This window comes from Homo sapiens, chromosome 9, assembly GCF_000001405.40.
Source record: "Homo sapiens chromosome 9, GRCh38.p14 Primary Assembly".
Taxonomy (NCBI): domain Eukaryota; kingdom Metazoa; phylum Chordata; class Mammalia; order Primates; family Hominidae; genus Homo; species Homo sapiens.
Window position 1 is genome coordinate 114,346,464 of NC_000009.12, and position 25,941 is coordinate 114,372,404.

The 25,941-nt window shown below is 49.2% G+C and overlaps 1 protein-coding gene across 19 annotated transcripts in view, besides 5 other annotated features; it reads right to left on the minus strand.

Annotated features, from left to right (window-relative positions):
- The window catches only part of AKNA (AT-hook transcription factor), a 67,969-nt gene that overhangs the window by 15,960 nt on the left and 26,068 nt on the right, over positions 1–25,941 (minus strand). For 16 of the 19 annotated variants that reach the window (XR_929844.4, XM_006717294.2, XM_011519065.3 and 13 more), the window contains 13 exons: positions 21,976–22,132; positions 21,080–21,234; positions 18,097–18,156; positions 15,943–16,070; positions 15,241–15,448; positions 13,433–13,599; positions 13,131–13,331; positions 11,458–11,704; positions 10,400–10,506; positions 9,462–9,673; positions 4,396–4,558; positions 1,261–1,437; positions 206–321 (listed from right to left, as the gene is read on the minus strand). Coding sequence is in view for 18 of the 19 variants with exons in the window: in XM_006717294.2 (XP_006717357.1) it covers positions 206–321; positions 1,261–1,437; positions 4,396–4,558; positions 9,462–9,673; positions 10,400–10,506; positions 11,458–11,704; positions 13,131–13,331; positions 13,433–13,599; positions 15,241–15,448; positions 15,943–16,070; positions 18,097–18,156; positions 21,080–21,234; positions 21,976–22,132 (2,098 nt within the window). In the remaining variant the exon portion in view is untranslated. Of the gene's footprint in view, positions 1–205; positions 322–1,260; positions 1,438–4,395; positions 4,559–9,461; positions 9,674–10,399; positions 10,507–11,457; positions 11,705–11,740; positions 12,257–13,130; positions 13,332–13,432; positions 13,600–15,240; positions 15,449–15,942; positions 16,071–18,096; positions 18,157–21,079; positions 21,235–21,975; positions 22,133–25,941 lie in introns of those variants that run through there. The other 3 variants (XM_047423924.1, XM_047423926.1, XM_011519066.4) reach the window with 3 other exon arrangements.
- Positions 20,392–20,451: an enhancer, noted in NCBI's record as "active region_28855". NCBI's record gives its function as "activates an Ori minimal core promoter by ATAC-STARR-seq in GM12878 lymphoblastoid cells {active_cell/tissue: GM12878}" and the evidence as "EXISTENCE:reporter gene assay evidence [ECO:0000049][PMID:35858748]".
- Positions 20,472–20,561: an enhancer, noted in NCBI's record as "active region_28856". NCBI's record gives its function as "activates an Ori minimal core promoter by ATAC-STARR-seq in GM12878 lymphoblastoid cells {active_cell/tissue: GM12878}" and the evidence as "EXISTENCE:reporter gene assay evidence [ECO:0000049][PMID:35858748]".
- Positions 20,669–21,617: an enhancer, noted in NCBI's record as "H3K27ac-H3K4me1 hESC enhancer chr9:117129412-117130360 (GRCh37/hg19 assembly coordinates)". NCBI's record gives its function as "activates a minimal SCP1, AML or CMV promoter by ChIP-STARR-seq in primed H9 embryonic stem cells {active_cell/tissue: H9 hESC(primed)}" and the evidence as "EXISTENCE:reporter gene assay evidence [ECO:0000049][PMID:30033119]".
- Positions 21,089–21,388: an enhancer, noted in NCBI's record as "active region_28857". NCBI's record gives its function as "activates an Ori minimal core promoter by ATAC-STARR-seq in GM12878 lymphoblastoid cells {active_cell/tissue: GM12878}" and the evidence as "EXISTENCE:reporter gene assay evidence [ECO:0000049][PMID:35858748]".
- Positions 22,611–23,315: an enhancer, noted in NCBI's record as "H3K27ac-H3K4me1 hESC enhancer chr9:117131354-117132058 (GRCh37/hg19 assembly coordinates)". NCBI's record gives its function as "activates a minimal SCP1, AML or CMV promoter by ChIP-STARR-seq in primed H9 embryonic stem cells {active_cell/tissue: H9 hESC(primed)}" and the evidence as "EXISTENCE:reporter gene assay evidence [ECO:0000049][PMID:30033119]".

The window sequence follows — 25,941 nt, forward strand, 5'->3', positions numbered from 1 at the left end:
AAAGCCCTTACAGACACCCTACACGCAGTAGGTGTGCAGGACTTTAGAAGTGCTCTGTGCTTCACAGCACTATAATATCCTAAAACAGATGCACAAAAACCCTTCTCCAAGTTTCCTTGAATACTGTTGCTGTGGTCCCTGACCACTGAGCCAACATGCTCAGACTGTGGCCTCTGGAAATCAGCCTTTGCAGGTGGTCACTTACTCAGGGACAGTCGGAGCACCTCCCGAGGCACTGAGGAAGACCTGGCTCGCTGCCTTCCTGGAGGGACAATCTGCTCTTCACCTCTAGGCTCACCAGGCAATCTCTCTGTGGATTTACTAGCAAAAGGAAAGAGAGATGATGTCATTGGATGAGGTTTTGTGTGGCCTTTAAAGGTTATTTGTGAGAAGTTCAACCTGGAGAAATGCTTCTAACACGATGGAAGGAAGAGAGTATAGAAGTCAAAGCCAGACTCTGAAGTCAGTTTCACAGAAAATGGCTCTGCGCCTCTCTGATCCTCAGTTTCCTCATCTGTCAAGTGGGGATAATAACAGCAATTACCTCAGAGGGTTATAAAAAGATTAATGAGAAAATGTTCATAAAACCCTTCATCAAGTGCCCTCCCATAGACTCAAAAGAAGCCAGCTGATTTTATGTCATTGTCATAAATGAACAAACACCGAATTAATGGGTGAGAGTGAAGGCATGCTGGCAATGTTCTAACTCTTTGGTTGGGTGGTGGGTCTAGGGATATTCATTGTATTATTCTTTATTATTATTATTATTATTTTGAGACAGAGCCTCTCTCTGTTGCCCAGGCTGGAGTGCAGTGGCACAATCTCAGCTCACTGCAACCTCCGCCTCCTGGGTTCAAGCAATTCTCCTGCCTCAGCCTCCTGAGTAGCTGGGATTACAGGCGCACACCACCACGCCCAGCTAATTTTTGTGTTTTTAGTAGAGACAGGGTTTCACCATGTTGGTCAGGCTGGTTTCGAACTCCTGAACTCGTCATCTTCCCGCCTCGGCCTCCCAAAGTGCTGGATTACAGGCATGAGCCACTGCGCCCGGCCTATTCTTTATTATTAACATAGAGGTTTATATATTCTTTTGTGCATCAAATACTGCACAGTGAACAAGCTCAACAGTGAATGAATGAATGAGTGAGAGAGGGATGTGGCAGTGCCTGAGTCCATATGTCTGGGGAGAGCCAGAGGCCAGCCAAGACTATCTTCTGTAGCTGCCACCAGGACAGAGGTGGGAGTTTTGAGGTCACCCACCTGCCATAATGGGAGCCCCAGGTGGCTGGGGAGTCTGCTGGCCGGCCGCGGGTCCGGGCGGGGCGGTCAAAGGCAGATGCTGGGCGTGTCGGGCTGCCCTGGAGTGGCTGGTGCAGGCTGTCTTCCAGCCGCAGACGAAGCCGGGACACCTCTTCTTGCAGCTCACAGATGGCCTGGCTGGGGTTGGAGTGGAGACAGAAACAAAGAACAGAGGCATGAGGAACAGAGCTGCAGCCACCCGAGTATGCCAGGATGCGGCAGCCTTTGTCCCTTCACAGCAGGCACAGGGTCTATCTCTGCTGTCAAACGATTCTAGAACTTTCCTGTGCGACACTTTTCTTGCTACACAACTTGACACCTTTCTGAGTTCATGTCCCTGTGCAGTGAACAAAACAGAACTTTTCTTTGAAGTTTTCTCTTCCTAACACATGGGGTCTGAGTGGCTGTTCAGGAACACCAGTGACAAATTCTCGAGATGGAGACAAGGATGCAGCATAGAGAGGGCCCTAGCTACAGTTCTGCCATAAAATACCAACCTTCACTCTCTGTCCAGGCCCAGCTCCTCTCCCTACCACTGTGCAAGCCCATCTCTCCAGACCTGGCAGAAGATGCTTGTCCACCATCTCCCCACACAGACAGTGAGCCGCCAGCAGACAAGAAAGAAGCGGGCTTCCTGTCTTATAACCCCTGAGGCCCTGCACCTTGTGGATGCTCAGGAAACAGTACTGCAGTGGATCTGGGCTCTGAGACGGAGCAGAATAAAGCGCTGTGAGTGGAGAGCGGACAGGGAGACACCTCGATGCTTCCTAGCACCACCTGAACCGGGAGGGCTGACTAAGAGCAGGCTGGAAGCTGTCTGCAAGACTATAGTAAATCCTGGTGAAACCCCCAACATGGTCCAACCTCCAGCCACCAGCACTGAGGGAGTAAATCCTGTCTGTGTTTCTCTCCAATCAGTCCCTGCATCTTCAGGGTCTTGTTTTGTGGGCATTGCTGACACCGCAGCAGACAATCCTACCCAGATACCCCTCCCCACAAGACCCCCTCAACCACGGAGCAGCGTTAGAGCCAGGCTCAGCAAAGCCACCCTCCAGGCGGATGCAGGCTCCACATCTACTTGGTCTGGCTTCTGGGGTGGGAATTCCCACTGGGGCCGTTCTTGCCTGGTGGCCCCTGGACTCCTGGGTGAGTATCCCCTGGTGCCGCCTCCAGCAGACATGAGCGCTCAGATGACTGTGTCAGAAGGAGTGGAGGCCTCTTCCTGGCTGTGCCCCAGCGCTGAGTGTGTGTGTCTGAGGGCAGTGGGTTCCCTTGGTAATCCCCAGGGAGACGCTTGCTGGTGTTTCTGAGGCAAAGCCACGAGGGCAAGTGTGGGCGGTGGCTACTGGAGAGTGACATCTCCCCACCCCCAGTTAACTCCTGAAATGGAGAGCTCCGCCTCCTAGTCAGAAGGCACTAAAAAAAAAGACTTACCAGGCCGGGGGCGTGAGTCAGCCACTTGGGTATCTCAGTCTCTCTGATGTAACTCTTTAGTTTCTTACTGAGTGCCAGCAGGCACTTAACATTCATCTTTCTCTGCAAACTTACTTCCCTGTCTCTGCACATGGCAGCAGCATCTACCTGACTAGCCAGACAGAACTCTGAGTCACTCTAGATCCCCTCCTTCCCTGAACATCCCTGAAGTTAATTAGTTACCAAGTCTCATGGGCCCAACTTCCAAAATACCTCTTCCCAAATGAATCCCTTCTTCCCCTCTGTAGGGGCCCTCCCCGAGAACCCAGTCCCCATCATCTCTCTCCTGGATGTGGCAGCCTTCTCAGCAGTCTCTTGGTCTCCGTTCTCACCCTGCCGGTGGCCAGAGAACTCTAAAACATAAACCTGCCTACGCTACGTCCCTGCTTAAAATCCCCTTCCCTGTCCTCTCAGCCTTTGTGCACTCATGGAATATGCAGTGAATGTCTCCCCTTACCCATGGCCTTCAGGCCCTGTAGGATCTCCCATAGGTCTCTCCTCTCTACCCCTCTCTTCCTTTACTGCTCAACACTCCACCCCCTCACACTAGAGGATCTGGCTGACCGTTTAGCTCCTCCAAGGTGATGGGCACTCTCTCACCTTTAGGACTTTGCACATGCCATTCCCTCCACTGAAGATACTCTTCTATCTCTCTTCCTTCTGATGTCTGCTGAGATACCACTTCCTCCAGGAAGCCCTCCCTGAAGCCTCTAACCGGACCAGATGCTCCTTCGCTGTGCTCCCACAGTCCTTTAGTCCTCTGCCATCATGGTATTTATCACAATGGAGGGCACTACTGCCTGTTTCTTTGTCTGTTCATCCTACAAGATGGTAAGCTTTAAGAGGCCTAGGATAGAGTCTTGTCCACTATTGTATTCCCAAGGCCTGGCATACCCTAGACAAACAAGCCTCTAATTCCTCCACTGATGTCAGGGGAGGCTGCAGGGGTAGACTTACTAAACTCAGACAAGGAAGCCAAACACCAGCAGCTGGACACAACTTTGCACGTAGGCAACATGACAGCCTCATGCCTGTTCGAGCCAAAGAAACCTTGGCTGGGCCACCACCGAGCAGTCTCCCCAGCGCATCCCGGGACAGACACCCACTCCAGCAAGGGTGTGTAAGTGATCACTGGCCAAAAGCAACTAAGAGGAGGTGTGAGAGAACTGACCAAGCGATTTTACCATTTCTGTTCAACCAAGGAAGTGGAACTTTCTTAGTAGAAAAAATGCACACGAACCAAAAAAAGAAAAGAAAAACTCAGAAGGCAGTAGCTTCTTGGTCCATACAATCAATGGTCAAATTGCAGAAAAGATAGCCCTAGAAAGGACAGGCTTTTCTCGGAAAAGAGATGATGGAGAGAGAGGGCATAAGTGTCAGCACCAGAAAGGTGAATCTTTAGGTCATATTCCACTGGCTGGAGAAGTGTGTCCTCGATGTCTAGATCAATGAGGTCCCACAGAAACGCTGGGAACTGGGAGGCAGGACACCTGGGTCCGTCTGCTCCTACCACCACCATCTGTGTGAGCTGGGCAGGTCTCCACCTCCACCTGCTAACACGTCGCATCACGCTCCCGTCTGTATGATGAGCTTGAATCCCCAGGATCCAAGTGTCTAACTTACTCTCGCCCTGCCCTGGTGAGCAGGAAGCTGGGGATGGTCTCTGTTGGTCCACAGGGTAGAGGCGCAGCGGCAGGGGCGGGGGCTGGGGGTGGGCTGATTGTCTTGTTGGGAAGGGGCTGTTCAGAAATCCGTTTGTGCCCCTCAAACTCTGAGCCAGGAACCGCTAGGGAGGCAGAGAGAGAACCCAAAGTGAGTTTAAGCAGAGAGAACTTCCAAGCTCACACTTGTGCAGGTGGAATGATGGGGGAAGTGAAGAGACGGTGCCTAGTTCAAGGTCACAAAGGAAGTTCCTGATGAGGCCAATGACCCACACTGACCTCCAAACCAGAAGATCTAGATTTTGCTGGGAGTGTGGGGTGCTGAGCTGGGCCTGCCCCGCTGTTTCTAACCAGAACCCCTCCTCCCACCCACCATGACACCATCCGAGTCTTCAGGAACTTCCCCTGCAAAGAATTAATCACTTCTTCACTTGGGTTCCTCAAGACTTGATCACCTTCTCACCATGTTTTTGTGGGGCTGGCTTCAGAGCCTCCTCTGAAATTATAGTCACCTCTTTCCACGTATGCATGTTTCTGGGGAGAGCATTAATAACTTTTAACGAATCTCCCAAAGGGATGGGTGACCAAAGGTTAAAAACCACTAATCCGTCCCCTGCATTAAAAGCAATGAACTGGCCAGACATGGTGGCTCACGCCTGTAATCCCAGCACTCTGGGAGGCTGAGACGGGAGGATTGCTTGCGCCCAGAAGTTTGAGTCTAGCCTAGGTAATATAGAAAGACCCCATCTTTGCAAAAAAAAAAAAAAATTATATATATAAAAAAATTAGCTGGATGTGGAAGTATGCCCCTTTGGTCCCAGCTACTTGGGAGGCTGAAGCAGGAGGATCGCTTGGGCCAGGGAGGACAAGGCTGCAGTGAGCCATAATGGCGACACTGCACTGCAGCCTGGGTGACAGAGCAAGACCCTGTCTCAAAAACAATAAAGAAATAAATAAAAAATAAAAGCAATGAAACCCTTGGAATACTACTCAGCAATATATAAAGGAGCTAACTATTAATACACAGAATAATCTAGATAAATCTCCAGAGAATTATGCTGAGTGAAAAGCCAATCCCAAAAGGTTACATAGTATATGATTCTATTTATAGAACATTCTTGAAATGATAAAATTATAGAAATGGAGAACAGATTAGTGCTTACCAGGGGTTAAGGACAGGCTGGGGGCAGGAGGGAAGTGGGTGTGCCTATGAAAGGGTAGCATGAGGCTCCTTGTGGTGATGGAACGTTCTGTATCTTGACTGCATCAATGTCAACATCTGGCTGTGACATTGTACTACAGTTTTGCAAGATAGTCTCACTGGGGAAAACTGAGTAAAGGCACATGGGATCTCTGTGTATTATTTCTTATAACTGCATGTGAATCTACAATTATCTCCAAATAAAAAGTTTAATTAAAGGCCGGGCGTGGCGGCTCACACCTATAATCCCAGCACTTTGGGAGGCTGAGGCGGGCGGATCACTTGAGGTCAGGAGTTTGAGACTAGCCTGGCCAACATGGTGAAACCCATTTCTACTAAAAATACAAAAATTAGCTGGACGCAGTGGTGCATACCTGTAGTCCCAGCTACTCGCGAGGCTGAGGCTGGAGAATCACTTGAACCTGAGTGGTGGAGGTTGCAGTGAGCTGAGATCGTACCACTACATACCAGCCTGGGGGACAGAGTGAGACTCCATCTCAAAAAAAAAAAGTTTAATTAAAAACGTTTTTAAAATAATGAACCAGCTGGGCGTGGTGGCTCATGCCGGTAATCCCAGCACTTTGGGAGGCCGAGGCGGGCGGGTCACAAGGTCAGGAGTTCGAGACCAGCCTGACCAACATGGTGAAACCCCATATCCACTAAAAATACAAAAATTAGCCAGGCGTGGTGGCGCGTGCCTATAATCCCAGCTTCTCAGGAGGCTGAGGCAGGAGAATCTCTTGAACCCGGGAGGTGGATGTTGCAGTGAGCAGAGAGTGCACCATTGCACTCCAGCCTGGACAACAGAGCGAGACTCCATCTCAAAAAAAAAAAAAGATGAACCTTTTAGGCAAAGCTAATCTGAGGTGTCAGAAGTCAGAACAGTGGTTATGTTTGGGAAGCAGGTAGTGACTAAATGGGACTTCAGTGAGGTTCTGGGGTTCAGATCATACTGAGTTTCTTGGTGTCTGTTCACCTTGTAAAAACTCATCAATTTAAGTTCTTTTTGGTGGTTTTTAATTTCAATAAATAATTCATGTGTATTTCTAAAGGTCAAAAACTGAATCACATATAGATTTCATAGACATGGAAAGTGTTTATAGTACAATTTAGTGAAAAAAGGAGGTCGCCAAATATTCACATATAAAATGATCTTATTTTTTGTTTTTTTTTTTTATGTTTTTTGAGATGGAGTTTTGCTCTTTCGCCCAGGCTGAAGTGAAGTGGCGCAATCTCAGCTCACTGCAACCTCCGCCCCCGGGTTTAAGCCATTCTCCTGCCTCAGCCTCCTGAGTAGCTGGGATTTTAGGTGCCAGCCACCACGTCTGGCTAATTTTTGTATTTTTAGTGGAGATGGGGTTTTGCCATGTTGGCCAGGCTGGTCTTGAGCTTCTGACCTCAGGTGATCCACCCGCCTCAGCCTCCCAAAGTGTTAGGATTACAGGCGTGAGCCACCGTGCCCAGCCTCATTTCTGTTTTAAGTATAGTCACGCATCACTTAATATTGGGTATAAGCTCCCAGAAACACATTGTTATTCTGTTTCACCATGTCACAAACATCATAGATTACCCACACCTATTACATATGTGAGGTAGATGGAATAGCCCATTATTGTAGGCTACAAACCTCTACAACATTGCCTGCTGAATACTGTAGGTATCTGTAACACAATGGTAAGTATTTGTGTATCTAAACATAGAAAACAGACCATAAAAATATGGTATAAAAGATTTTAAAAATGGTACACCTGTAAAGGGTCCTTACCATGAATGGAGCTCGCAGGACTGGAAGTTGCTCTGGGTGAGTCAGTGAGTGAGTGGTGAGTGAATGTGAAGGCCTAGGACATTACTGTACACTGCTGTAGACTTTATAAACACCATACACTTAGGCTAAATTTACAACATTTATACAAAAGTTTTTTCTTCAATAATTAATCAAGTTTAACTTACAGTAACATTTTTACTTTATAAGCTTTTTAAATGGTTTTTAACCTTTTGACTCTTTTGTAATAACATTTAACTTAAAAATACATTGTAAAGTAAAAAATATTTTCTTTCTTGATATCCTTATAAGCTTTTTTCTATTTTTAACTTTTTTTTAAAAAACTTTAAAAACTTTTCTGTTAGAAACTAAGACAAACACACACACATCACAGACACACACACACATTAGCCTAGGCCTGTATAGGGTCAGGGTCATCAATATCCCTGTCTTCTACCTCCACATCTTGTTCTTCTGGGGCAATAATAGCACTGTCATCTGTGATAACAACACCTTCTTCTGGAATACCTCTCGAAGGACTACCTGAGGCTATTTAATAGTTAACATTTTTAGGCTGGGCGCGGTGGCTCACGCCTGTAATCCCAGCACTTTGGGAGGCTGAGGAGGGCGGATCACGAGGTCAGGAGATCGAGACCATCTTGGCTAACACGGTGAAACCCCGTCTCTACTAAAAATACAAAAAATTAGCCAGGCATGGTGGTGGGCGCCTGTAGTCCCAGCTACTTGGGAGGCTGAGGCAGGAGAATGGCGTGAACCTGGGAGGCAGAGCTTGCAGTGAGCCGAGATTGTGCCACTGCAGTCTGGCCTGGGTGAAAGAGCGAGACTCTGTCTCAAAAAAAAAAAAAAAAAATAGTTAACATTTTTAAAATAAGTAGAAGAAATACACTCTAAAATAATGATAAAAAGTATAGTAAATACATAAACCAGTAACAGAGTCATTAGTTATCAAGTATTAGGTACTGTACATAATCGTAGGTGCTATACGGTACTTTTTTTTTTTTTTTTTGAGACAGAGTCTTGCTCTGTCACCCAGGCTGGTGTGCAGTGGTGCGATCTTGGCTCACTGAAACCTCTGCCTCCGCCTCCTGGGTTCAAGCAATTCTCATGCCTCAGCCTCCTGAGTAGCTGGGATTACAGTCGTAAGCCACCACACCTGGCTAATTTTTGTATTTTTAATAGAGATGGGGTTTTGTCATGTTGGCCACAGGTGATCCTGGCCTTAAGTGATCCTCCCACCTTGGCCTCCCAAAGTGCTGAGATTACAGGCATGAGCCACCATGCCCGGCCTGTACTGTACTTTTTTTTTTTTTTTTGATACAGAGTCTTGCTCTGTCACCCAGGCTGGAGTGCAATGGCACGATTGCAGCTCACTGCAACTTCCACCTCCCGGGTTCAAGCAATTCTCCTGCCTCAGCCTCCCAAGTAGCTAGGATTACAGGCACCTGCCACCATGCCTGGCTAATTTTTTGTATTTTTAGTAGAGACGGGGTTTCACCACGTTGGCCAGGCTCGTCTCGAACTCCTGACCTCAGGTGATCCACCCGCCTCGGCCTCCCAAAGTGCTGGGATTACAGGCACGAGCCGCTGCACCCGGCTGGGACTGTACTTTCATGTGACCGGCAGCGCAGTAGGTTTGTTTCCACCAGCATCACCACAAACATGTGAGTGAAGTGTTGCTCTGCAATGACTGCAACATCGCAACCAAAGGAATTTTCAGCTCCATGAAAATCTTATGGGACCACCGCCGTGCACGCTGTCTGTCGTTGAACAAAACGTTGCTATGCAGTGCATGACAGTATGTGTAAACAAACACACATTTATATCGGCACAGAGAACAGCTCACAGGTTCTACACCAAAACGTCAGCACTGATGGTTTCCAGAGTATTTTTTTTTCTTTTGTTCCCTTTTGTCCACGTTATCTGTAATTTCAAATTTCAGTACAATGAACCTGGCTAATATGTCATATCCTAAAGGGTTCTGCAAGTTTTTCTATTTGATTTTTCAACCCATGCAGTTCTGTCCAAGTCAGACTCCTGCACTCACCCATCTCGGCTGCCAGTGTCCGCTCCAGGCTGAAGTTGGGTGCCCTCTGCCGGAGAGGCCCACTTGGGCTGGAGAGGTACCTCTGTGCTTGGCTCCGGGGTGTGCTGGGCTCTGTGGCTCTTCTGGGAATCAGAGAACCCCTGGCCTTGGGGTAGGAAGCTCCATCCCTGGGCACAGATGCAGCAAAGGGCTGGGCTAATGTTCCTGCTGTGCTGGGGGACCGTGGAGGAAGGGACACACAGGGGTCACACAGAGTGAGACACTCAGGCGGCAGCATCTGAGCCCCTCCACATGCTAACCCAATAAGCTCCCACCCTTTGTAACTTTGCATCTCGGGTGGTACAATATTTCCAAGGACACACACACATTAGATGCCCAATTCTTTGTAAACTGTTCACTGGCCAACCCAATATGCAAAATAATAAAGCTCAGTTTATGTGTAGAATACATAAAAGAGAAATAGGATTTCTAATCCTTCCTTTGCATGCACCCTTGGGTTGCCATGTGGGCCTCCTGAAGGGCCTGCACCCAGCTTTGGAGGCTCCATCCCTCCACTCTTCACCCCTGTCCCCTCCGCCTTCTCCCTTCCCTTTGGGTTCCATGTAGCCACCCTGAGTGCCCTTTGCCCTTGTCTTCTGTTCACCTCACAGTGCCCTCCCTGTAGTTTTTATTCATTCATCCATTCATTTGCTCAACAAAAATGAATTTCCCAGTCTGTCGCTAATTAGCTATGTGAGGCTGGACTAGTTACTCCCCTCTCTGAAGCTCTGTTTCCTCTGTCCATAACACAGGAACAAGAAATCACGGTTAGGGGATGAAATGAGGGCCTACGAATGGACAGACCATCCTCTCTTATTCTGGGCCATCACAGGCACTGTGATTCCCAGGCTGTCCCAGGAATGTGGCACTGACGGGACAATGGCGGGATCCCGGGATACCTGATGTGGGAGAGCCGGTGCTCTGGAGTCTGGGTGAGGGGTGAAACTCTGCTTGTTTCTGAGCCCACAAAGCCACTGTCTGTCTCTGGGGACGCCATCCAGGTCTCCTGAAAGAGGCAGTATCCCTTTATGTCTGAGGAATGTGTCCAAGGCACACTGGGAAGCCCTTCCCAAATCGTGGCCTGGCCTCACCTCCCAGAGGCTCACACCCCAGGGTTGCTGGCCCAGCTCCCAACAGCCAGGCCCAGGAGTGAGGGCTCTCAGGCTCTCAGGCCTCAGCACAAGAATCTGGCTACCAGCAGGGACTCTGCACCCCAGGAGGACCCTCAGCAAGTGCTGCCTCCCTGAGGGGTGGCAGCCAGAGCCCTTGGGAGAGACAAGGCCATGGACAAGGACTAGCAAGGGGAGAGGGAGAAAGCCTTATTTCCAGTGTCTCCTGGCTTAGGCCTGGAATACTATGGTCTTATCTGACAGTGGAAATGCTCAGGCCCAAGGCATTGGAAAAACGAGACCATCAAATATGTACAGGTCCTACCCGCTGGGTTTAACACACGGCACAGAGAACACAAACAGAGCAACACAGGTGCCTGCCCTCGCTGAGTTCATGTCTAGTGCAGAGAATCCTGACCATGGGCTCGTTAGGACTACAGAAGTGTGTGTGTGTGTGTGTGTGTTTGTGCATAAGTGCACATGCATGCATATATATGCATTATTCTATGACAGTCACATTTCCATAGTGGCCTGTGACTTTGCAGCAGTGATGTCTACTCTAAAGAGCATAGAACTAGTCTCTCCAGCTGTGATGGGCAGGCTCAGAGAAGTATAAGCAATGGGTTGCAAGCTCTCAGAGGAGGAACAAGAGCTCCGGAAGAGGGACAGGTTTGGGGGGTGACACTGAGCATAAGTCCTGCATGTCAGGTGGGATTGTGGCTGGCAGGGACAGGAGCAGCAAGTATTCCAAGAAGGAATAGCACAAGGAAAGACCCAGAAGCAGAAAGTTGAGAAGACCCAGGAATGACCCTGAGGTTCTGGGCCCATTCCCCCATGTGGAGACTTACCTCCAGGTGGGGCCCACCGCCTCGGTGCAAAGGCTTCTGTGGAAGGCGCTCAGAGATGCCGCTTCCCTCCAGGCTGGTCATACTACTTTGGTGGGATGCTGCGGACTTGGTGCCTGGAGGGTGGGGTGGCACGCCAGGGCCTGGAGGGGCTGCCTCAGCCTTGCCCAGGCCTGACATGTGCCCGTCTCTAGCCAGGGATGCCTGGAAACCTGGTGGCTTCATAGATACCATCTTCTCCGTGGCCTCCCTGGCATGGGAAGAGAAGACCATCCTTGAGTTCTGCCAGGCAGCCCTGACGCAGGGGTTGGCCTGTCCTGGGAGCCAAGCAGCCCAGGGCACAAGCTCTGGAGTCAGACATCCCTGGCTGCCCAGCCTGGTTCTGCCACCTTCTAGCTGTGTGACCTAGGGCAAGGCACTTCCCCTCTCTCAACCTCACTTTTCTCAACTATAAAATATGGATGCCAACAAAACCCACCCAACACCAAAGAGGAAATGTTAAAGCAGCATTTCCCAGACTTAAGGAGTTTGCATACCACCTTCCCTATTTCAGTCATTTCCATAAACTTCCATCTACTCCAAAGATTTTAGATCACTATTCAAAACAGAAGATCAGTGTGTCATGTGACAAACAGAAACTAACTTTGAGGATAAATATAAGAAACCTGAATATTATCATATACTAGATAGATCCACTTGCCTGCTAAATGCTCTAGGCCTTGTGTGCTCTCATACTGTCTCTCTCTCTCTTTTTCCACAGAAGTTCAAGAGAGGCATTAAAGACACCACAGCTCTCAGTAAACTATCACAAGGACAAAAAACCAAACACCGCATGTTCTTACTCATAGGTGGCAATTGAACAATGAAAACAAATGGACACAGGAAGGGGAACATCACACACCGGGGGCTGTTGTGGGGTGGGGGGAGGGATAGCATTAGGAGATATACCTAATGTTAAATGACGAGTTAATGGGTGCAGCACACCAACATGGCACATGTATACATATGTAACAAACCTGCACGTTGTGCACGTGTACCCTAAAACTTAAAGTACAAAAAAAGAAAAATAAAAAAGACACCACAGCACTAACTGAGACTTTCTCCTTGGCATCATTAGAAGGTCAGAGACAGAAAAAGAGAATGATATTCTTTTTTCTTTTTTTTTTTTTGAGACAGGGTCTCACACTATCACCCAGGCTGGAGTGCAGTGGCCCGATCTCAGCTCACTGCAACCTCCGCCTCCTGGGCTCAAGAGATTCACCTGCTTCAGCCTCCCAAATAGCTAGGGCTATAGGCGTGTACCACCATGCCTGGCTAATTTTTGTATTTCTTGTTGAGATGGGGCTTTGCCGTTTTGCTCAGGCTAGTCTTGAACTCCTGGACTCAAGTGATCCACCTGCCTTGGCCTCCCTCAATGCTGGGATTACAGGCATGAGCCACTGTGCCCAGCTGAGAATAATGTTCTTTAATACTGCATGTGTCCTACTGAAAATCATGTCCCACACTACCCAAAATCATTTCAAGGGCTATCAGTGGTATACATTCCACACTTGAAGAGGCAGGACAGGTAAGCCATGTCTAAACTGTGAAGCGCTGTCTTATTCACTCTGACAGTGATCATCCCTGTGGTTTTAGGGTGGAAACAAACATTCTGCAGGAAAGGCTCAGTGACTTACTCCAGGGGAGCCCCATGACTTTTCTCAGCCTGCACCGGGCACTGCCTTGGGAGGACCCTGGTGGCCTCTGCTTTCCCTGGAGTTGCAGCCACCCCATCAACTTCCAGGGAGTCACCTCCCCCCTCTTCCTCCTCCTCCTCCTCTCCTTCTTCCTCCTCCTCCATTCTCATGGCTTCTGGGAGAGACTTCACACTGAGGTACCTGCAGAAGAACACACAGAGGGGCATGACCTCTGCCCAGTGGGGGACAGCCAAGATCCAGCTGCTGGCCAGACACCCTGGTCAGGTCCAGGTGGCACTCACCGCTCCATGAGGCCATGGTAAACTTGCTCCATCTGCAGCTCCTTGTGCCTGAGTCGGGCCAGGGGGTCCTGTGGCCTGTCCTCCACCTCACTGTTGCCAGAGCTCACCTCCACATTTACGTGCAATGGGCAGGGGCCAGTGCTGGCGGCGGCAGTGGTGGTAGCAGGCTGGGGTCAGAAAGATGGACAGACAGAGATTCAGCAGATAGTTAAACACCACTTTTAAGCACTTACCTCCTGCCAGGCTCGAGCTGTGGGCTGCGGGGTAAGAAGCACATTAGACTCACTAAGCCCACCACCCTTTTATGTATGTGTAAACTATGGAGACTGGGCTGTGTGGTCTTCGATACTGGCTGCCATGAATTGAGCACCTGCTGTGTGCCAGGCACCATACAGATACCATGTCACAACAATCCCACCAGTACCTACGATTATTACAAACCATTTTATAGACAGGTAACTCACGCTCAAATGATTTGCCCAAAGTCAACAGAAACAAGGAGCAGAGTTGAGATTTAAACCTAGATTTCCTGCCAGAGTTAACTCTCCTGACCCCCATCCATTCCAGCATGGCCACCCCAGCCCCCTGCAATACCTTCAACTGCAGGAGCATGAGGGTCCCTTAAGATATTGTACTCAGGTTTTCTCCCCATTCAAGTGTGTAGTGGCACCTGGTAGAGTTTTCCTACCCTCTAGGCCAGAGCACAGCACAAGATTTTCCCCAAACCATAGGGCCAGCATGACCTCAGCTGTCAGGGATGTCCTACCAGTGTCCCACCCTACCCAGCATGCCAGGCTCTCTTTCCTGCTCCCATCCTCAACAGACAAGTCTTTGCAGCACAGGCAACAGGAGTTGGGAGGCATAGAGACCCCACTACTGTCATCTGTGTGAACGCACTACACTCAATTTGCTCGCCTGCAAAACGGAGATAGTGATTGTCTCTCAAGGGGTTGTGGTGTGGGCCAGACAGCCTTCTACAAAGCCCCTTTTGTGTAGGGCTCTTGTCTAGGTTTCACCCCATTATCCATGCAGTACTACAAGCTAGAAACCTGGAGCCATCCGTGTCTCCCTTCCTCCCTCTCACGGCCACTCCAAGTCCACTCAAACATACCTTCCCAACCTCTCTTAAGTCCACACATGCTTCTCCATTTGCCCTGCCACCTCCCCAGCCTCAGACTGGCCTACCCACAAGTCATCTTATGTCATCCCCTGCCAGAAAATCCAGCAGAGTTTAAGGCCATGCTCTCTACGTGACCCACAAGCCCCTACATCATGGGGCCCCTGCCTGCCTCTCCAGCCACATCTCAGACTATTTTTCCTTTCTCTTCCCATACTCTAGCCACAGGGCCTTTGCACAAGCTGTTTTCCCTGCTGGATGGGTTTTCTCTTTCTGTCTCTAGTAATTCCTACTTAGTCTCAGGTCTCATTTAAACATGACTTCTTCAGGGAAAGCTTCTCTGACCTCCTCCTCAAACTCAGTCATGTTACTCCTGCTACTCTCACAGAACCCCATAATTCTCCTTCAGTGCACTGACCAAAATTATAACTAAATCACTGTAACCAGTTCAACTCTACAGAAAACTCTGTGAAGGTAGACGCCACCTTCCCTGCCACCTCCCATCCCACTGAATCCCTACCATGTGTCATGGTACATGGCACACACTTCATAAATATGTAATATTTACATATTTGGCACACACTGGCATATGGCACACACTTCATAAATATGTAATACGTATTGAAGAAATGAATTAACGAAGAAATGAATGCACGAGGGAACAGCCCAATATGGTTGAGCCAAGAGGTACCTCAGGGCAGGAGGTCTTGATGGCTGGCATGGGGGCTTGTCCAGAAGGAGCAGGCAGGTGCGTTGGCTGATGGAGGCAGGGCAGGGCTGGGGTGCTGTCCAGAGCTGAGTCTGACCCGGGCGGCTCAGGCTCTTGCTGGGTCTGGTCTATGTGTTCCTTCAGCTCTTCCAGGCAGCTTCCCAGACGGTATATCTCTGCCTCCAGCTCCCTGGAATGCAGAAACATTACCACCAGGAGCCCAAGATGGCAGCTACATCAGGCAGGTCCAGGAACAGAGTATCAGAGCAGAGACTCCAGGGGATGCCCCCTTAGGGTCCATTTAATATCAGCCTTTAGATGATGGTGAGAACTCAAAATAAGCAAGATGAAAGAAGGTTCCATTGGGAATCAGGAGGTCTCAGCCCAAGTCCCCTCTGCCATCCACAGGCTGTGGGACATTAGAGAAATCCCACCCCCATCTAGCCTCAGTTTCCCCATCATCCAATAAGGGTTTCAAGGCATCTTCTCAGCACGTGGGTCCAAAGGGACTCAAATCACAGCTTTTGATCGTGCCACCATTTGGATATGTATACTAATTAGGATAAGATTTCTCTCTATTCCCCGTGTACAAATTATAAGGACAAAGTGCCTCCCTCCTGGAGACTGAGGGACCCCAGGGGCCCATCCCATCTGTCCTTCCAGGCCTTCCACCCCAGCAGGTACCTGCGAGGATCAAATCTTCCAGGCGTCCCCTTGGAGCCGGCAAGCGGCTGGGCAGGGTGTTGCTCCCGACAAGCCTTCAGGTACTCCTCCTCTAGGGCCGCGTGGGCAGCCTTCAGCCGCTGGAAGCCCTGAAACCAGACCAGGCCAGGAAGACTTGAGTGCTCAGTCCCCGCGGGGCCTGTCCCTGAAGACACAGTGGATGAGACAGCTTGCGGGAGGCCATGGGATGCACCTGGGCCCCTGGGTTCATGCAAGATACAGGCTGAGGTTGAGATCTCTGGAGGCTGCCTGCCCTGGAGAGCTGCCGTGGTCAAGCTCTCTGCCATCAGGCTGGCACAACAGAGACACAACTCAGAGACTTGGCACCAGCTCCAGAGGGCACCAGCCCTTCCTGCATAGACTTACAAGGACCCCAATGTACCACAAACTGTCATAGCTGTCACAGTGTCAAATACACTCTCACTATTATCTCCATAAGGACCCTTTACATGAGAGACTCTGGATCCTCATTCTTGATTTGCAAAACTGTGGGCTTCAGAAAATTAGCCACTCTTTCCCCAAATCCTTATAGACTATCGACACCGATAATGTTATCATCACCATCACATTATTGAGAATGTTTACTGAGCATTGAGGCTCTGGGCTAAAGCACTTTGCATTTATTTAATCTTCAATATAATCATAATGAGAGGGGTGATTTATCATCTTCATTTAAAAAGGATGAAACTGAGGCACAGGGAGGTCACTTAAGTTGATGAAGGTCATGGAGTGAGTGAGTTGTAGAGACAGGATGTGGGCCCAGGCCCTCTGGCCCCAGAGCTCATGGTCCTAGCAATTCTGCTAGGCTCCCATAGGAGGATCACAGGTAATACATGGCTAAAGCTGCAGGAATTGGGGTTGGTATCACTGTCTTACTACCATCCACATCCCACTCAACTCTGAGGAGAGACAGAAGCCAAGCACAACCTAAAACCCATTCCCTGGTCACATCTAATCTTCTGACAGCTCTCAACTTCCCTGTATATGGGGGGATTAGAACAGAGAGCAAAAAAATGAATGGTTTTAGTTTATAAGGTCCTTGGTCATCCACTGGATGATATTACATGATACATATGACACATTTTGTGATTGGAAAATGTACATGACATCTATGTAACCACACAGGAAATATCCTGCCATAACATTTTTTTAGAAACTAGGTGTTTTGAATTTGCCTCTCCAGACCTTCTCTCAGCTCCTCTCCCACCCTGCTCTGTGCTTTGAGCATCAGGGCTGTCTACCTGCTGGCTTCTGGTTGGGTCTGTCTAGTGGGAGGGACCTATGAGAGATCACAGGGTGGGAAGAGAGAGACTTGAGAGTGGGCACAGCTCCCGGCTAATGCTACTACCCGGGGATTCCTCAGTCTTTGTTGGGTCCCCTGATGCTGCCCACACCTTTGCTGACAGTTCTCTCCTTTGACGCCTACACTCCCAGACTTGAGAGCCCCACCTGTCCCTTAATGGGACCCTGGCTGATGCAGCAGGAATCTAAATTGTATTTATGACCACCGTTATCTAAAACTCCAAATTCCAAAGGATATACACCAATAGGACTCTATAAAGGGTCTCCCCTCCAGCCCCCACTTTTTTTAACAGGGTTTCCAAACTTTTGGCAACTATTTTGTAATTTTGTTTAAAGGCGATAAAAAAGAAAAGGCCTTTTTCTGCTTGCTGAGAGGCAGGATAATTTGTGGAAAGTAGTGCAGGGCAGTGATTATGACCCTGGATTTGAAAGAGAGACAGACCTGGCTCCAGGTTCTCCTGCCTACTAGCTGTGGGGCCTTTGAGTCACCCCTCTGAGCTTCAGTTCCATCCTGGTTAAATGAGGGTGATAAATGTAACTGCTTCACTGGGTTTTGATGATGACCAAATAAAATAACATACTCTAGGGTTTACCACAGTCCCTGTACACAACCATCCTTGCTTAATAATGGGTAACTATTGTGAAATAATGATCGTTATCATGGGAAGCTACTCAGGAACTGTTTGCTCTAAAAGAGACCCTGTGTCTGGGATTCTCTTTTCTGTCTTGCAGCAAAGAAGGCTTCAGAGACAGAGTCATGGGAGACAGTGGTTGTCTGGCAGTTCCATGGGTGGCTCCTGAATTGGGCAGTACCTTGACTTGGTCCTGGGGCATGAGACGTCCTGCCTGTATCAGTCTTTCAAAGGACTCCACCTGGACATTGGGAGGGGAAGGAAATATGCTCCATTAATCCAGTCCTGTAGACTCCCACACCCAGCCACATCTATGCCTTGGTAAGAGGAGCTGGGTCCGTCCTCAGGATGTGGGGTTTCTGCCAAGCATGGAGACGTGGGTGCTGGGAACAGCTTCTACCACCAGCCCCAGGCATGGTAGCCTTGAGAAAAATTGAAGTGAAACCTGCAGGAATTTACTGACAACAAAGCAAGTCACTCATGTGCATCAAGACTAATGAGTCAGGATATTTACTGCAGCATGAACAGTAGGGAGGGGACAAGAAATTGCCTAAATGCCTGTCGGTGGAATAGTATTCAGCCATCAACAAGAGGAAGGCACACGTGTATGTTCTGAGCTATTAATGCCTCCAAGACCTATTTTTCAGTGTCAAATCAAGGTACAGGGCAATGTTTACGGTATGCTACCATCTGTATAGAATATGTGGAGAGTAAAAAGGAAAACGATAAATACATTGCTTATATACGATATACTATCTCTAGAGGAATTCAAGAAACTAAAATATGAATTGCTTCTGGGAAGGAGAACTGGGTGGCTGGAAGACAGGAATGAGAAGTAGATTTTTCTACTACATGTCCTTTGCATCCTTTGAAATCTGAACAATGTGAATTCGTTGCCTACCCAAAAATAAATATTCAAATTTAAGACTTCAAAAAGTCAAGGTACAGTAGCTTATGCAGCCATTTCTATAAATGCAAGTGTGTGCATTGAACATTTTTGCATGGGTTGGAGGAAAGATTTAGTTTTTGCTCAATATGCCCTCTGTACTGTGCAAAGGTCCTTATCATGGGCATCTATTACCTGCTCAAAAAAGTTTAATTACAAAAAAAGGCAAGGGATGATGTAAGGTTCGGTTTTAAGAAAGCTCTAGATCAGTGTGAAATATAGAAATGTATATTATATAATCATATTACATAATTTTATAATATATAAAATAGAACTATAATGTGAGCTACACCATCTATAATTTTCTCATAGCCACATTGAGAATGTAAAAAGAAACAGGTAAAATTAATTTTTATATTTTATTTAGCCCCAAATATCATTTCAACATGTAATCAATACTAAAAAAATAGGGAGACACTTTATATTTCTAAGTCTCTGAAATCTGGCATGTGTTTCATACCCACAGCACGTCTCAATTCAGAGCAGCCCATGTCAAGTACTCAACAGTCACATGTGGCCAGCAGCTTCTGAATTGGACCGTGCAGCACTAGACATGAGGGGTCAGCTAAGGCCCCAGCTCCTGCTCAGTGTGATGATTTGACATTGCTTTATTTTGTGGACAACATATAGGACGAAGAAGAAATGTGTCTCCGGCTACGGAACCAAGAATGGTGGTGGCAAAAGGAAACGAAGCCTGTAATCCCAGCACTTTGGGAGGCCGAGGCAGGCATATCACCTGAGGTCAGGAGCTCAAGACCAGCCTGGCCAACATGGTGAAACCCCATCTCTACTAAAAATACAAAAATTAGCCAGGCATGGTGGCGCGTGCCTGTAATCTCAGCTTCTAGGGAGGCTTGAGGCAGGAGAATTGCTTGAACCCGGGAAGCGGAGGTTGCAGTGAGCCAAGACTGCACCACTGCACTCCAGCCTGGGCAACAGAGTGAGACTCTGTCTCAAAAAAAAAAAAAAAGAAGAAAAGAAATGAAGTACTTGTATGTGCTACTCCAACAAGGATTAACTTTGAAAACATCATGGTAAGTGACAGATGTCAGACACAGGACAAATATTGCGTGAATCTATTGCTATGAGACATCCACAATAGGCAAGCCTATAAAGACAGGAAGCAGAAGAGCAGCCGACGGAGGCTGGGGAAAGAGGGGATGGGGAGTGACTGCCTAATACAGATGAGGTTTCTTAGTGCGTGATGAAAATGTTCTAAAACTGACTGTGGTGATAGTGGCAGAACTGCAAATATACTAAAAACCGCTGAAGCAAGCAAACACTTTAAATGAGTCAACCGCATGGTATGTGAATTATATTTCAGTAAAGCAAGGGAAAGAAGGAGAGATGGGAGGGGAGGGAAGAGGAGAGGAGGGGAGGGGAGGAGAGAAGAGAAGAGGAGAGGGGAAGGGAGAGGAGAGGAGAGGAGGGAAGGGAAGGGAAGAATAAAATGGTGGTGCTTCTGAAAGAATTTGTTTTATGGGCATGGTAGTGCATGTAACTATTGCATTTCTCTTTTGGCATTGGCAACTAGGAAGCTCAAAGCTAAATGTGTGACTCTAATGTGCTTAGGGTCCAACAGAACATTTTATTTACTCACTCCACGTATTTTATTTTTTTCTACCCTTACTTCCTCTCTGCCCCAGTTTTCTCACTTCTGTTTTCAGAATGTGGCTAAAACGTATGTATTTTCATAAGGTGCTTTAAACCACTTCTGGAATAAAGCCAATGTACAGTTATAAACAGACCTGCAAACAATTCACGGTTACTTGGACTGTTTCATGAAGATACGAAGACCCTTGAGAAGTAACTAGGAATTGATTTATTTAATAAAATGAACTAAGAAAGTGAGGCAACTTATCCTGAAGAGGAAAAGGTAGAGTGGAGATTCTGTTACCCTTCCAGAATCCTGAAAGAGCTCAGAGTTTCCCGGGAGCCAGCCTAGAGACACTTCCAAGCACAAGTGGAGGGATTTGGATGAGATGCATTGCCAAAAAGGGGGGTGAGACCTAGCACTGGTGACAAGGAGGAGGCTGGAGCTGTGTGGCCTCTAAAACCAGGGAGGGGCTCATGTTTTGGGGATGGCTGAGTTAACTCGGTGCAGAGGCAGGGGAATGACAAGTGAGACTCCCAGAGTGCCTCTCACCCAAGCAGGCAGAGGTTCTGTGTTCTCCAGGTGAGTTAAGTCTCTCGGGGGCAAAGCTGGGAGTCCACTCACCTTGGCCAGGAACTGGCTGGCCTGAGAAGCCAGTGCCTGGGTCTGCTCTGCTGAGGACTGGTCCTCAGAGATGTCCCGGTTCTCCGGAAGCCACCCCAGGGTGGGCATGCTGGTAAGCGAGGAGGGGCTCAAGTCTCCTCGAGCTGATGGCCACCCTGGAATACACAACTGCTGAAAGCTGGGGCCAAGAACAGTCCTTCCAGGAGCTGAAGGACTGAGGCTGAACGTCAAAGCCACCACCTCCATCATCAAGTTATAGCTCAGTCACCATGTGCGATCTTCACATCAGCCCCAGGAAGTGGGCTGGGTAGAACATTGTCCCCCATTTACAAGGGAGAACAAGGTCCAGATCTGCCCCAGGCCACATGGTTGGCTGGAGCAGAGCTACGCTAGGCCTCTGGGTTCCCAGTCAACAGCGTGGGCTCTCACACAGGGAGACGTGAGTTCCAATCCAGACACTTCCCCTCCATAGCTGTATGAACTTCAGCGTGTCCTCACCTCTCCAATTGGTCCCCTTGGCTGTCATGGGTGTGACAACAGTGCACACCTCAGCGGGTTATTGTGGGGATTAAGTGAGGTCACATGTGTCAAGGCTTAGCACAGGGCCTGGCTGAGATATGGGCTCCCCAGGGACAATGCTCTATGTTTTCAACTCACCCAGGGTCACCAAGATGCCAAGTGGCAGGGCCAGGGCTGCCCCCAGGCTGCTGTGGATCAAAGCAGGACACTTTCCACATCTCTGACCCTTTTGAGTCAAAGTGCCCAGGGTGGGGCCTTGCCTCCCTCCTTCCCCTGGCCTGAGGCCAGCGCCATCCCCAGGGTGAACCAAGTCAGTCCCACAGAGCAGAATCCCAGGCAGAAGGAGCCTCCAGCTGCAGCTCTTCTCCCGGACTCACCTGAGGCCGCAGAGGCCTGGGGGTCCTCGGCCGGGCCCGGCCACCACTCTGCAGAGCGGGGCTGTGGGATGGTGAAGGACAAGACCTTGGTCCCCTGGGGCACCATTCCCGTGTGGATGCTGTGGTTGGGCTGGGGTGGGTCAGAGAACAGGTTCACCTGTGGAAGCAGGGAGGCACAGCACAGCCAAGTCAGGGTAGGGGCAAACCCACCTGAAACGCCTCATCTTCATTCAGGAGCTCAACACACATGCCCTGTAGTAATAAATACCATCTTTCAGTGCAGCCCTTGGCTAGGCCAAACACAGGTGAAGAACTGCATGCCTTTTCATTTACTCTTAATGGCAGTCCTGAAAGGAAGACAGGGTGGGGACCCCAACAGCCCATTATATAGAAGAAAAAACTGAGACACAGAGAGGTTATTAAGTCAGTTACTCAAAATCCCCAGCTGATAAGTCCTTGGATGAGGATCACAACACTGCTCTATCTGACCCCAACACCTATGGTTCTCCTATTAACAGTAATTTTTTATTAATAATGTGTGTTATAATTATATCATAATTAATATACCATATAACATATAATTATTTCTTAACAAATATAAGCATTTCTAATAATTATTATACTGATAATAATAGCAACTAATAGCTATTCGAATGAATGAGTGAACCAGCAAGTAAACAAACTAATCTGCCATTGGTAGCGGATCTCTATCATTTGAGGATGGATTTAACATGGCAGCCAGCCCAGTTGGTGAGGGAGCAGTCTGGAGTCAGGCAGGTGACCAAGGAAGGCCTCTTGAAGCTGGAAAGCAGAGGGAAACCACAGGCTGTTCAACAGCTTAAAGCAGAGTTGAGAGAACTATGTTCTGTTTTTGTAAAGAAGGTTTTATTGAACACAGCCATGCCTGTTTGTTTATGTGTTGTCTATGGCTGCTTTCACACTCTGGTGGCAGAGTTGAGTAGTTGTGACAGAGACTATATGCTCCACAAAGCCAAACATTGTCACAATCTGGCCCTTTACAGAGAAAGTTTGCCAACTCTGGCTTAGCATGTGGGCTCTGCAGCTAGAGCCCAGGTTCCTGTCTAGGCTCTACCACAGCACACCTCTGAGTCCTAGTTGGTTTAATAACCTCTCTGCGCACAAAATAAGTGCTCAATAAATAGTGGCCACCACCCTGACATTCATCACCATTATCTTCACCACCACCGTCATCACCACTACCATCATTAGCATCACCATCAGCATCACCATCAGCATCATCACCATCAGCATCATCACCACCACTGTCATTACCACCACCATCATCACCGTCAGCACCATAACAATCACTATTACCATCACCATCATTCACCATCATTACCATCACCATCACTATCACCATTATCACCAACACCATCACTATTACCACCACCATCATCACCATTTTTACCATTACCGTCATCATCATAACCATCACCGTCATCATCGTAACCATCACCATTATCACCATCACCGTTATCGTCATCACCATCATTATCTGCACAGCCACCATGGAGACAGGCCCGTGGAAAAGCAACACCCCTTAGTGGGATTTGCTCATCATGATGTTGGGGGGTTATCTTAACTGCCCCCACTGCACCAAGGTCAGGAATGAGCAGTTTAGGGTGGGCCTGGTGGAAGGGGCTCCCTGGCCCCCAGGCAAGCAGGCTCTCTTGCTTAAGCTGTATAGGTCCCGGCTGTAGCCGAAAAATCAACTCCAAGTGTGGCATGGTCCCCGCCGCCTCCCCCTCTTTCAGGCCCAGCCTCCCCAGATGAGAACAAAGCTGGATTTTAATAATCCCCTCAGCCATCTGCTCAGACTCCCCTGTGGGGGCCTTTCCTATCAGCACCCCTCTCCTGAGGTGACCCAAATCCCAGGGGAGGCCCAGCCCTCTGACATGTTTCCCTCCCCAGACCCCTCTCTCAGCCTCAGGCCCCACCTAGGGAGTGACAGGGAATGGGGATGGGCCAGGGAAGCCAGGAAGCCCTTTTGTTTCAGGGACCGATAAGGAGTTTGAAGCAGAGAAGCCCAAAACCTGAGCAGATGCCCAGGCAGAGCGATGAGGTGGGGAGTGGCGGTGGGGGTGGGGGTGGCAGCTGCAGCTGCTCCGGCCAGGCCCTCCCAGGGCTGGTCTCTCTGGACACAGCCAGGGTGTCCCGGGTGCTCCCCAAGGCTGGATTCACTCCCTTGGGGGATTCTGTGAAAGGTGAATCAGGATTCTGTGAAGGGAGGACTAGTGAATTTGGGAAACATTGGGTTAAACAAATGAATATTCTCTGCACAGATGGATTTCTCTCAGCCTTTAAAATGCTAATGGGCTTTATGAATGGGGAGGGAGGGGAGGAGGAAGAGAGAGAGGAAGATGTTTCCCCAACTCATCTGCATACAGAAGCCTCCCCCTCCCCCCATCCCCACCCAGGGGCTTCTAGACCAACTTGCAGCCATCAGAACACACTGAAAAGAGGTGGTTTTACATCATCTCCGTAATTCCTTCTTGGGTAATTTCTGGTCACCTCAGCTCTTCCAGATCCCTCTTCAGCTGAGATGGAGGAACAGGGGCTGGGGGGGAGGTGGCAACATGGCAGCAAATGCAGTGAGATCACTATAAACCCTGGCCAGAGGCCAGTGTAGAGAACAGAGCCCACCAGTGACTCCTGACCAGTCCTGGCTCCCTGCCCCACAGCTGGGCTCCCTGGTCCTGCCCCAACCCCAAGGCTCCAGACCCATCGGTGTTCCTGGGCCAGGCCTCCCCAGCTGCAGATCCCGCAACTACCAAGTCTAGTTCTGCTAGAGTGTGGTGTCACTCGTGGGCTTCAGAGCTAGGCTGCCGAGTTCCAACTCCTGCTCTGGCACCTACTTGTTGAATGATCTTGGTCAAGTTATTTAACCTCTCTGTGCCTCAGCTTCCCCAACTGCAAATTATTTAAGAGAGTGGTCCATAAACATCACCTATGACCATTCTTATTACTATAACAGTCATCAATCCACCTCATCCCTATGCCTGTCTCCACACCCAGTGCCAGGGCCTGAGTGCCAGGGCTTACCCAGGCATGAGGAAAGAAACACCTGTTCTGGAATCAGGGAGATGTAGGTTTCAGTCCCAGCTTTGCCTGTTGCACCAGCTGTGGGATGTTGAGCAAACCATTCCACCTGGCTGTGCCTTGGTGTGTGTGTGGAGGGGCTCAAATATGACCCTGAAGCTGGGGTGGGATACCTGTTGCTGCTCAGTGAATGTCAATCTCCTTCCTATGGGTCCCCATCCATTGCTGTCCACCTACCCACCATGCCTAGCCTGGGTGTCCAGCGCAACATCCCCAGCGCGGCTCCCTCCCAGGTGGGTCCAGCCCTCCCCCGTGGGCTCTGAGCAGAGTGAAATGGCTCGGTGGGTTCTGAGGACTGCCTCTGAACTCGTGGGTTCTGAGCAGAAGACCATCCTGGGGTCTCTCCAGCCTTCGGGGTAGAGTGCACAGAGGTCCAGATGGAGTGAGGCACTGGCCAGCTGGAATCTCAGCTCCCCTCAAGCCCCATGGACCCAGAGTGAATCCCCTCCCTGTTCCGGGGCTCTGTGTTCTCTTCTGCACATAGGAGCTGCAAGCCTGCCATGTACTGTTCCTTCAGGGCAGCTGTGAGATGGGGTTGGGCAGGAGATGATAGTATCATCCTGCTTCCTTCCGGTAGAGCCCTGAATGGTGCTCACACTTCTTGAGGCTGAGAGAGGGGTTGGGGGAGGGAGCAGAGCCCTCGGGCCAAGCAATCATTTTTCCAGAAAGCGGGAGTGAGTGAGCTGGCACAGAACCATTTCTGGCCTCTCCTGTGACACCCTCACACACATGAGCCAGGGGTCTGGGTGCTGGCCAGGGCAGGGTGACTACACATGGGGGGGACCCTGAGTCCTACTGGGTCAAGGGAGCACCCACGAGAGGAGATACCCCAGCTGTGCTCCCCCG